This window comes from Homo sapiens, chromosome 2 (genome assembly GCF_000001405.40).
Source record: "Homo sapiens chromosome 2, GRCh38.p14 Primary Assembly".
NCBI lineage: Eukaryota > Metazoa > Chordata > Mammalia > Primates > Hominidae > Homo > Homo sapiens.
The window spans coordinates 26,124,281-26,137,454 of record NC_000002.12 but is presented as its reverse complement, the minus strand read 5'-3'; the positions used below and the strand labels follow the sequence as shown (position 1 = coordinate 26,137,454).

Here is a 13,174-nt window from a genome sequence, read left to right as displayed (position 1 = left end):
TGGAAATCAAGTTTTGTTTTTATATGAACAGAAGTAGACCATCTAGAAATATTTCAGTTTATTTAAATTGTTAAGTAGAATATGAAACCGAATTTGTAGCTAGTACCAGAGAATGGACTTAACTGTTTGGTGTTTAATGAGAACAGCTTCTACACAGGATCCCAAGAGACTTACAGAAAAGGGGCAAAGCCCTAATATTAAGCAAATAAAACTCATGTTTCAAACAGATTATACAAAAATTGATTTATACTTCATTTCCCTTTTTTGATATTTAGAAAGTGCAGATTTAACAAAAGGTAGCCATATCCTTTCTATGTACAATGCCGATTATAATTATGCAAAACTGTCAGTCTGTTATCCAAAAATCCCAGTGTTTAGCTCTCCAACCTTAAGTCATGGAATTGAATAAGAATTAAAGAGGGTTAAAATAAAAAAGCTAATGCCACATTCCAGATAAAGGGAAGCAACAAATACATTAATCTAACAACAGTAGGTTTAACCTAAACTTTTCAAAAAGCTTAACATCATTTCATTATATTTTTAGTGGAAAATTAGGGATTATTTGGCAATGCTGCTTTTTACTAGTAGTAAACAATGATAAAGTCAAGTGTGGGAATAACCTAAGAATAACAACCAGTGAGGCATATAAAATTGTTTTTAGGGCACTATCTGAAAAATTTGTGGATTTTCATAGCAGATACGTCCCTATGTTGTTTGCTTATGTGAGCCAAGAGGTCATTAAAATGCTATTCACGACACAGAAAGACTTCTCAATGGAAGCTGCTGTCCTAAACTCAGCCTCTGCTAGAAATGAATCATGCTATTCACAATTCTTTCAACAAAGGTATCATCTTAGGATGCTAGCAGCATAGCAAACTTCACTTACCCTATCCTAATGATAAGCAATGAAGCAAAACTAGAAAAAATGCAGTGAAAAAAGGACAGGGTTAGAGATAGCTAAAGATCTTATCTTTACATGAAAAGCCTTTCGTTGTCCTTTTTCCAAACCCATGGTAATACAAGTTTTCCAAAAGGATGTAAAGACAGGACTTAAAATTAATAATATTCTAAAGTATTTCTGAATCTTAAGGTAAAGAAACTTAACACTGAAAAAGTGTTCTTCAGAGGCCAAATCTCAATACATTTGGCAAACATGTTAATAAAATTCACTCCTCCTTCCTGCTTTTCCTTTTTTAAAAAAACAACCTGTACTAGGCTACCAAGCTGCTAGAGGAGTTGCCAAAATGCAGACTACTCAAATTTAGGTTAAGAGATTTATTCTAGGAAAGTGAATAGGCTATACACCTAATTAGAAAGACAAACCACAACACCCTCCAAACACTAGTGCATGCAGTTAACTCTTCCATTTCATAAACTCAATGGATAGACAGGAAGGGAACAAAGAGAGGAGGAAAAGCAGAACATAGAAGTAAAACAGCAAATGAAGGCATCTGGGACACATTTTAGGGAAGAGAGCAAATGAGGGGGGAAGACACCAATTAACTGACATTGGATAGTAGGCAGTTAGAACTTATCTTTCCGTTTACCTAGCAAGTTACATCAGTGCTTTATATTAAACTTGACAAACCTACTAGTTTGTCCCTTTCACTCTTAAATATACCATGAGGTGGTTGGGGAGGGAGAAGCAAATAAAGCAGCATGCAGGGAGACGCAAGGAAGAAGTGGCCAAGGAGAAGAAATGGTGGCAGGAATAGTTTTAAATATCAAGGCCACTTAAAACAAGACTCAGCAAACCAAAGCTATCACTTCTGCATTACCCTTTGTCCTCAATTAACTACTTTGAAAATTACAGCCAAGCAAACCACAAACATTTTAATGGTTTATGTTTGGATGATATGTCTCCTGCACATGCTTCCACCAGAACAAAAAAGGAAAACCAAAGAAGTTCCTTTCCACATAAGGCACAGGACAAAATTAATCCCATTTACATATTCAAGGCGAAAATGAGTGTTTTCCTGGCTTTTGTTTGTTTCTTTTGCTATCACATGTCTATAGATTATAGGGACTCAAGCACATTATCCATGACAGAAAATTCCACTGTTGTACAAAATAAAATTGTTAATTCTAACTTTATTCTTATACAATTTGCAGAATAGATTTGAAATGATTGCTATAGGTTTTAATGTTGATAAGAACTGGACTATAATACAACTGAAATGCAGTTGAGCTGAGCAAGTACATTTAAAAATGAACTCACAGACATGATTTTTCTATACATTTTTTTGTTTGAAGAAAATTATGATAAAGTCAGCAAGCAGTCACAGATGAAAGAACAAATAAAATAGGTGGCTTGGATAGTTAAGATGAGAAACAAAAATATCTGTTTAGAGTTAAAAATGGACAGAGTGGTTTATTTTGCAGCAAGAAGAGAAAACGGGGTAGTGGATGGCAACTGATGGAACAGGAGAATGCTCAGCAGCATTTGCTCTTCCAGCCTGTCACGCCTCCTCCACTGCTGATATCTACATTTTCACTGTTGGGCTCTTTTACAGGGGTCTGCAACAAACACACAAGGAAAATAACTCATGAAAAAACACTGCCATGGATAAAATCACGATTCAACAGGAATATTCTTATGTCAATTTATACAACAAAATACAACTACAATCACAGGAGATAGGTTTCCCCTCCGTGCAAAGTAAAGATTTGGAAGCTTTGTTTTGATTTTCTTTTTGCCTGCTTCCTCCAAGCTGTGAAATATTGTAGACATTTCCTGGCATGCCTTTATAAAGCTTCTGAAATCTTCTCAGCTCTAACTCTTAAATAGATTTTGTTATCTTCTAGCCCTGACCTCTGAATATGTTTAGTACTTAAAAGGCATTGTGGAGCAAGTTGTATGAAACCAGTGTTAGGTATATGTAACGTCACAGAAATAAAACTGCCCTTTTCTGTTATCTGCCTTTTTAGACCAATTTTATTACTGTATCATAGTTTTAAAAAGGCAACCTCAACTGATTAAGTGAAAAGGAGTGGAGCAAAATGTAGTTATCTAATTCATGTTAAAAATGGATATAGATGGCTGAGCACAGTGCCTCACGCCTGTAATCCCAGCACTTTCAGAGGCCAAGGTGAGAGGATCACTTGAGGCCAGGAGCTAAAACCACGTTGGGCAACACAGCAAGACCCCCATCTGTATAAAAAATTTAAAATATTAGCTGGACACAGTGGCTCAAGCCTGTAGTCCCAGCTACTCAGGAGGCTGAGGCAAGAGGATCACTTGAGCCCAGGAGTTCAAGGCTGCAGTGGGCTATGATCACTCCACTGCACTCCAGCCTGTGCAACAGACCAAGAGAGTAAGACTCCTCCCAACTCCTCTAAAAACACCGAAAAACCCCAAAGGAGATACAACAAAATACTAACAGTAGCAACCCTTAGGTGGTAAAATTATGGTTGATTTAATTTTATTCTTAGTATAATTCTGCTTTTTCCCAACACTAAATATTACTTTGAAAATCAGAAGGGCCGGGTGTCGTGGCTGAGGCCTGTAATCCCAGCACTTTGGGAGGCCGAGGCGGGTGGATCACCTGAGGTCAGGAGTTCGAGACCAGCCTGGCCAACATGCCAAAACCCTGTCTCTACTAAAATTACTAAAACTAGCTGGGTGTGGTGTTGCACGTCTGTAATCCCAGCTACTCGGGAGGCTGAGGCAGGAGAATCGCTTGAACTCGGGAGGCAGAGGTTGCAGTGAGTCAAGATCCCGCCACAGCACTCCAGCCTGGGCGACGGAGTGAGACTCCATCTCAAAAAATAAAAAGAAAAAGAAAAAGAAAAAAAAATCAGAATACAGTATTTTAAAAGGGTAGGCCCATTTTTATATATTAAAAATATTTTTAAAGTGATACCTTACATACAGAAAAGTACATAAAGCTTAAGTGTAAGCCTGATATATTTTTAGTATATATTGTCAAACTACCAGATCAGGATATAGAACATAATACTCCCAAGAAGGCTCCCTTGTGCCCCTTTCCTGCCAGTACTGCTCTCTTCAAGTTACCCAATATTCTGATTTCTATCATCTAAGATTAGTTTTTTTCTATTCCTAACCTTCATATACATGGAACCATAGTTGAATATATTCTTCTCTGTGGCTTCTTTCACTCAGTATCAGTCTTTGAGATTTATCGATGCTATTGTATAGAACAGTAGTTCATCACAACATTTTGAAAGCTAGGACGTACCTGAGAACTTATTCTCTCATGGAAACAATATAAAGTTAAGGGCTTTTGTAGCCCAAGAGGGAAAAAATTAAAATATTTTAAAAATATTTTAAAACCTCAAGTAGCCTAAGACAAGCCTAGTTAACTCATACTGAAGTGACACTGCTACTTGCCCTTAGAGCTCTCCTACTTACTCCCACTGCCTAATTGGGATTCTTCTCCTCCATGTATGTTAAAGCAGCAAATTATGCATTAAAAAGACCTCTGTGGGGTTTCCAGTACAAGTGACTTTGCTCCTAATACAGATCTTTGAGAAAAATGTAAAGAAGAAAAAGGGGCAGACCAGCATCCAGCAAGAAAAAAAAGTACAGTTGCACTGAAAATACTCTCTCTCTGGGAACTTCCAGGTATGAGTCAGGTTAAAGACAACCAGGGAGGCTCCTACAACTGATTTTCTTATCTTTTTAGAATTTAACTTAGATCCTTGAAACAGATTTAAAAAAAAGGGGGGGGGGTATCTCTTGCGGAGCAAAATCTTTTACAGCCAAAATATTTATTAAGTTGAAGTTGAGTTTTAATTAAGTTTATTAAAAGTTTTAGGCTGGCTCCTAGCTAAGAATAAGAAAAGGCCAATAACCAAATAGAAAAATTGGGCAAAGGAATAAACAAACAAAAATACTACAGAAAAGGAAATGTAAAAGTGATTCTTAAACATATGTTTTCAGGTCACGCGTGGTGGCTCACGCCTGTAATCCCAGCACTTTGGGAGGCCAAGGTGGGCAGATCCCTGAGGTCAGGACTTCGAGACCAGTCTGGCCAATATGTTGAAACCCTGTCTCTAGTAAAAATATAAAAATTCGCCAGGCGTGGTGGCGGGCTCCTGTAATCCCCGCTACTTGGGAGGCTGAGGCAGGAGAATCTCTTGAACCTGGGAGGCAGAGGCTGCAGTGAGCCGAGATCATGCCACTGCACTCCAACCTGGGCAACAAGGGCAAAATTCCGTCTCAAAACAAACAAATGTTTTTAAATGCTCAGCCTTACTCAGAAATTACCTGCGAATTAAATCTACATTTTTTAACCTGTTAGACTGGGAAAGATCTGAGTCTTGTAAATCCACTGTGCTGACCAGGGTGTGAATAACACATATTCTCATATACTGCAAGTGGGTGTGTAAATGGGTATAACCCTCAGGACAGACTTTGGCTGTATTTATCAAAATTGCAAATGTACATACATGTACGCTCTTTGGCCAGTTCTCAGAATCTGTCCTTCAAATGTATGTGCGTGTGGAAAATAATTTAAATACAAGATTATGTACTACACACACAGTTAATGTGCACATAAGTTTGAAAATAATCTAAATGTCCCTCACTGGGAGACTTGTTCAATTATGATATAAACAATCAAAGGAATAGCATGTAATTATTTAAAAAGTAAAATTATTTTGCTTATAGTAAGTGAAATAAGCAAAGTGACAATCAGTGGAGTATGTTACCTCATCTGTTAAAAAGAAAAGGTTGTGGGGGTGGGGTGGGACAAAAATATATATTCATATTTACTCAGAGTAATAACTGATAAATTAATTACATCAGTTACCTGGGGAGTAAGGGGGAAATGAGGAATTGGTAACATTGAGGGAATTAAAGGGAACAAGGTGGGAAATTTCTGTATCCTTTTTTTTTCTCCTTTTAAAATGTTTGAAGCAAGAGAATGAATCATGTAGCCAAATAATTAAATTAAAAGATGTTTTAAATTGCTTTCATTTTAAGTTAATTCTAATGTGAAGGAAGTTTACATTTGCTGTTTTAACTCACAACTTCACCACATCTAAGTGTATGGATGTGTATGAAAAAAAATTGCTACCTAGTATTTGGGCCTGCTTACTTGGGGAAAACTCTAGACCAAGTTTGTCCAACCTGCAGCCTGCACACAGCCCAATACAACAAATTCGTAAACTTTGTTAAAACATGATGAGATTTGTTGTGTGTGATTTTTTTTTCTTTAGCGTACAAGCTATGGTTAGTATTAGTGTATTTTATATGTGGTCCAAGACAATTCTTCTTCTCCACTGTGGCCCAGGGAAGCCAAAAGATTGGACACCCCTGCAAGTCTAGACTGAGATCTTTATTTAATAGTATACTCATACTTTAACCTTTAATAATGATAATAAGGAAAGCTCTATCTCACTGGGGCACAAAATTATATATATAATGGCTATATAGCACTATTCAAAAAAAAAAAAAAAAGCCAAGACTGATGAGAAGATCAAAGGACATAGTATAGACAGAAAGTAAGCAGAAACCACGAAGACCAAAAAGCCCAGAAAGAGAAAGGACACAGAGACAAGAGCGTTTCACTAGGTCTTGCAGTAACTCCTGCCAGTCTTATCCTGGTCTTTAACTCGATTGTGAATACTGGATAATGTTTCATCCTGACCCATTAATGTCTGAAATACAAAGTACCTTCCACCAAGTTTAAAACAAGCATTTTTCTATTTCTTTTATTCCCTTCATTTAATTAAAAATACAATTTTTGGCACGTGGCTCACACCTGTAATTCCAACAATTCAGGAGGCCAGGGTGAGAGGATCACTTGAGGCCATGAGTTCAAGACCTGCCTGGACAAAACAGTGAGACACCCCCAATCTCTACCAAAAAATCTGAAAATTAGTGAGGGATGGTGATGTGTCCTCGTGGTCCTAGCTACTCAGAAAGCTGAAGCAGGAGGATGGCTTGAGCCCAGGAGTTCAAATCTAGCCTGGGCAACATAGTCAGACCCCATCAATTAAAAAAAAAAAAGAGAGAGACCAAGCCAGGCTTGATGGCATACCCCTGTGGTCCCAGCTACTAGTGTATCACTGGAGGCCAGGAATTTGAGGCTATGGCCAGCATGATCACACTTGCCAACAGCCACTACACTTCAGCCTGGGAAACACAGTGAGACCCTGTCACAAAAAGAAAAAAAAAAGGAAAGAAAGAAACACATTTTTTCCTAGTTGTATTCTTCTATTCTTTTGCTCTTCAAAAGAACAATAAATAATATAGATTTATTTTCTCAAGAAATTCTAATGGGTTTCACCTTAACTCAATTGTGAAAGACTATTCTTTCAAAAAAAATCTTAAAATTGTTTTTATAATTCAAAAAAGAAAGCTGTTGAAATTTCAAAACTAAACTGCCTATAGTCGGTAAATGAATCTGCCCTATGATCCGTCCCCCTTACCACCATCACTCTCTTGGAGTGCTATTTAGACTTTGGTATCTACCCTTCCAGTTCTCTAGTTGCTAAAAATAACAAAATGTATCTGCGTGTACATATGTATGTTTGGTATCATATAATCTTGAAAAATGAGATCACTTCACATATTATATCCTAATTTGCTTTTTATCACTCAATACACTATGGAGATCTTTTATACTTATTTTAATTGCTGTCAGCCTCTCTCATTCTCTGAAATAAAATTCAATTTTTGATCTGACTGGATTCTCATAGAAAAACATCTCCTAAAGCAGGAAATCCCAAAATATGATATGCAAGGAAGCTGGCAGACTCAAAAGGGCACCAATTTTTTAGTCCCATTGAAGAGCAATAACTGATGACTGTTTTTTCCAGTTTGAATATTCAATTGTAGTAAACAGATACCTACATTTCACTCTAAAAATTAGGTCCCTTAGTTTTAATGCCTCTATATAATTTACTTCAATGTAAATATCTCAACTCAATCTCTTATAATTGCTCAGAAATTTCACTAGATTTATATGTGACATACCACCTCTACTACAGCTAATGTCTCTGTCCTTCCAAAGTGGAGAAAGAAAACTGGTTGGTTAAGAAAATTTAAAAACAAACATCTACCTTTTATGTATAGGTTGGTTTTAGAAAAATATATTAATATTTCAAATATAAAAATAGAAAGGTTACCAAATGTAATTACATTTTCTCCTATACAACATCTGCTTCTCTTTTAGGATGTGTGTCAGATTTTTTTTTTTTTTTTTTTTTTTTTTTTTGAGATGGAGTCTTGGTCTGTCCCCAAGCTGGCATGCAGTGGCGTGATCTCGGCTCACTGCAACCTCTGACTCCCTGGTTCAAGGGATTCTTCTGCCTCAGCCTCCCAAGAAGCTGGGATTACAGGCACGTGCCACCACACCCAGCTAATTTTTGTATTTTTAGTACAGATGGGGTTTCACCGTGTTGGCCAGGATGGTCTCATCTCCTGACCTCGTGATCCACCCGCCTCAGCCTCCCAAAGTGCTGGGATTATAGACGTGAGCCACCGCGCCTGGCCAATGTATGTCAGATTTTATCTGTATTTATTTGCATTTAAAATTTCAACAGATTGAACAGAGAATTCAGGACTCATAACCAAATCCATGCATTATACCTATTCACTCGAGGGAAAATACGAAAATCCGATTTCCTAATTTGACTACATGTTACTTACACTAGCAAATATTGAGAGTCACAAATCTTAAACCCAGAAACAAACCTGAGGTAAAATATAAATTCCCCAAGATCACATTTTCAGCATTATTTATTTTCTTACATAATAGGTTTTATTCAGTACGTACAGAATATGTACACGCCCTTTATTTGCCTGAGAAGTGACTAATATGGCAGAATAGCAATTCTGTGGCAATAACTACTTAATAGATTCATTTCTTAAAATTTCCTAAATTATCTTTGAGAATGCAAAGTACTCATTAAGCGAAATGAGTCCAAGAGTAAAAAGGCTAGAAAAGACAAAAAGCTGGAAAAAATAATTGAACTAGGGACTAGACAGTGACTGTGGAGCTCAGAATATTAATGGTTACCACTGACTAGATCCTTCAGATTTCTAGATGGCTTTCTGTTTCCCCAGTTCCTTATAGCACAAGTCCCCAACCCCGGGGCTGTGGACTCTTACCGGTCCGTGGCCTGTTAAGAACGGGGCCACCCAGCAGGAGGTGAGCAGCAAGTGAGTGAGCATTATTACCTGAGCTCCGCCTCCCATCAGATCAGTGATAGCATTAGATTCTCATAGGAGTGCAAACCCCACTGTGAACTGCACATGCAAGGGATCTAGGTTGCGTGCTCCTTAGGAGGATCTAACGCCTGATGATCTGAGGTGGGGTAGTTTCTGGGTGAAACTACCCCCCAGTACGGTCCATGGAAAAATTATCTTCCATGAAACCAGTCCTTGGTGCCAAAAAGGCTGGGGACTGCTGCCCTACAGAAACAATACCACCCAAACTCAAATTCTGTATGTAAATCCAGTACTTCAGAATAGACAAAATATTCAACAGAGATACTCAGGTACCTGGCAGGATATAAAAACAGGAACTTACCTTTCGAAGGATATCTTCAGCTAACGTGAGGAACGCCTTTTCGATGTTTATATTTGCTTTTGCACTAGTCTCAAAAAACCTAATACCATGCTCCCTTGCAATCTAAAACAGAAACAAAATATCATCATAAAATTATCAAGCATGGGTTGCCAACTGCTGACTTTAACAGCTTAAATATTAATCTTATTCTGAAGGCAGTGGTCCCAACTAGAATATATAACACAGAATATTTCAGCAAGTCAAGCTCTTTCATAAAACAAACAAAAGAAAAGTAATCTCCTTACCCCAAAAGTTTATTTCAGATATTCTAAGTCAGATACTTCACACTGGGGGCAAACTTATGAGAAGCTCAACCTGACTCCTCAGGGTCTAATTTCTGCTCACCATAGGCTCCTGATTGTCACATTTTAGAACCATACTAATTGATACATTTCCTTAAAGTCCTAAGTTTAAAAACCGAGGATTAATGACTTATATTTTTCTCTCTTTGTAGTTTAAATAAGGCTAAAAATACTATGGGCACATTTGATTCTCCCATACATGTTAAATATGCACTGAAAAAAAATTCACTCAAATGATAAAATATTATTTCCAACAAGCATTTTAAAAACTATGTAATTAGCTTAGTGTGTTCGATCACTATTACTATAAAAATAATCAAAAGTAGCATTACCTTTACAAAGACAGAGCAGAGTATCAGTTTAATTCAGATTTTTACCTGTTCTCCTTTTCCTTTAGGTACAACTCTTTTGTCGTCCATATCACACTTGTTTCCTAGTAACATTCTTTCCACATCTTCATTGGCATGCTAAAATGAAATAAAATTTTACTTTTACATACTACCATGAATTACGGCTTAACAGTCTTTAAAAGTGACTTTATTCTCTCAATTTAGAGGGTCATTTCTATAGCTTTGAAGTTTTAAAGCAGTCACCCTAAAACTACTCCATACTAAAAGCCTACACAAATTCTTAGATTACCTAGCAAAAGAAACGCAATTCCCAAGACATATCCATGTCAAATACTATTTCCTCCCTAAAGGAGGCTGTCTACTTTCTAGGTATGTTCTTTCTTACCAAAAGAGAAGATACAAGCAAAGAAACTTGCATAATCTAAATCCAGGCTGGATCATTTCAGATTTTATAATGCATACTACCCTATAGAAGCCTTAATTAAACATTTTATAGAGCCTTAAACTCTCAAATAGCTGTGCTGCTATGGCACAAGGAGGTCCATGCAGAAAAATCAGTTAAAAACAAGTGGTTGTCCCCTTAAGATCCCAATGACAATTTTTGCAGAAATAGAAAGATCTATCCAAAAATTCATATGGAATCTAACATCAAAAGAATCTCTCTTTTTGAGACAGAGCCTTGCTCTGTTGCCCAGGCTGGAGTGCAGTGGTGTGATCTGGGCTTCCTGCAACTTTCGCCTCCCGAGTTCAAGCGATTCTCCTGCCTTAGCCTCTTGAGTAGCTGTGAGTAGCTGGGACTACAGGTGTGTGTACTACCATGCCAGCTAATTTTTGTAGTTTTCTGGTAGAGATGGGGGGTTTTGCCATGTTGGCCAGGCTGATCGCGAACTCCTGGCCTCAAGTGATCCACCCCCATCGGCCTCCCAAAGAGCTAGGATTACAGGCATGAGCCACTGAGCCCAGCCAAAATAATATTAGCTGGGGGAGTCAAATTTCAGAACTTACTGCAAATCAAAAAGTGTGGAACTGGCATAAAGACAGATACACAGACTAATGGAATGGAATAGAGAGCCCAGAAATAAATCCTCACATACTTAGTCAAATGACCCTCGACAAGGATGCCAAAATCAGTCAATAGGGAAAGGACAGTCTTTTCAATAAATAGCACTAGGAAAACCAGATATCCACATGCAAAACAATGAAGCTGGATCCTTATTTTAAACCATATAAAAAAATTAACTTGAACTAGATCAAAGACCTCAAACTATAAAACTCTTAGAAGAAAACATAGGGAAAAGCTTCAGGACACTGGATTTGGCAATGGTTTCTTTGACATGATACCAAAAGCACAGGCAATAAAAGAAAAAGTAGTTAAACTGTACTTCATCAAAGTTAAAAACTACTGTGCAACAAAGGACGCTATCAAGAGAATGAAAAGACTACCCACAAAAAGGAGGAAATATTTGTAAATCATGTATTTGAAAGGGAATAATACCTAGAATATATAAAAAACACCTAAAACTCCTAACAACAACAAAAAATGACAGCACTTTGGGAGGCTGTCAGGAAAATTGCCTGAGCCCAGGAGTTCGAGACTAGCCTGAGTAACACTGTGAGACCTCATCTCTACAAAAAATTTAAAAATTAGCCAGGCACGGTGGTGTGTGCCTGTAGTCCCAGCTACTTAGGAGGCTGTGGTAGGAGAATCACTTGAGCCTGGGAAGTTGAGGCTGCAGTGAGCCATGATCATCATGCCTCTGTACTCCAGCCTGGGGAACAGAGCAAGAACCTGTCTGGAAAAAATTTAAAAAAAAAAAAAAAAAAAAGCAAGCAAAGGATTTGAATAGACATTTCTTCAAAGAAGATATACAAACAAACAATATGCACATGAATAGATGCTCAATATCACTAAGATTAGGAAATGCAAATCAAAAACCACAATGAGAGATACCACTACATACCCATTAGTATGGCTACTATTAAAAAAACAGAAAACACATATTGGCGAGGATGTGGAGAAACCGACACCTTTGTGTACTGTTGGTAGGAATGTAAAATGGTGCAATCACTGTGGAAAAGTCTGGTGATTCCTCAAAAGGTTACACACAGAATTATCATATGATCCAGCAATTCCACTCATGGGTATACACGCAGAAGAATTTAAAGCAGGGACTCAGATATTTGTACACCAGTGTTCACAGCAACATTATTCACAATAGTAAAAGGGTGAAAACAACCCACATATCCAACAATGGGTGAATGAATAAACAGAACATGGCATATAAAAACAATGGAATATTATTCAGCCTCAAAAAATAAACAAGTTCTGACACATGCTACAATGTAGATGAACCTTGAAAACTTTATGTTAAATGAAGTAAATTACTTACAAATTGAACAAATACTATATGATTCCACTTATATGAGGTACCTATAACAGTCAAATTCATAGAAAATAGAATGGTGACAGTTGCCAGGAGATGGGGAAAGGGGGAGACAGAAATCATTGTTTAATGGATGCAAAGCTTGAGTTCAGAAAGATGAAAAAGTTCTGGAAATGGATGGTGGTGACGGTTGCACAACAGTAGAATGTACTTAACACCACTGAACTATACACCAAAATAATAGTTAAAATGAAAATTTCATGTTGTATGTATTTCACCACAATTTTAAAAAGTATTCAAAAACAACAATAGGCTGAGCACGGGGGCTCATGCCTGTAATCCCAACACTTTAAGAAGCTGAGGCAGGAGGAGCACTTGAGCCCAAGAGCTCAAGGCTGGAGTGAACTATTATCACTGCCACTGCACTCCAGCCAGGGCAACAAAGCAAGAACCTGTCTCAAAAAAAAAAAAAAAAAAAAAAAAAAAAGCAACAACAACAATAAGAAAAACAACAGCAACAAAACTGCCAAATGGCTGCGGTTACTTCATTTCCTGTAGCTATAAGAAAAAAAAAAACTAGGAAAGTTATAAAATAT

The 13,174-nt window shown here is 37.4% G+C and overlaps 1 protein-coding gene across 2 annotated transcripts in view; it reads right to left on the bottom strand.

Moving 5' to 3' along the window:
- The window catches only part of RAB10 (RAB10, member RAS oncogene family), a 104,170-nt gene continuing 90,996 nt past the window's right edge, over positions 1-13,174 (bottom strand). For both annotated transcript variants that reach the window (XM_047443004.1, NM_016131.5), the window contains exons 4-6: positions 10,222-10,311; positions 9,504-9,605; positions 1-2,517 (exon numbers count right to left, since the gene is read on the bottom strand). In XM_047443004.1, coding sequence (XP_047298960.1) covers positions 2,434-2,517; positions 9,504-9,605; positions 10,222-10,311 — 276 coding nt within the window. In that variant the 3' untranslated portion in view covers positions 1-2,433. The remainder of the gene's footprint in view (positions 2,518-9,503; positions 9,606-10,221; positions 10,312-13,174) is intronic.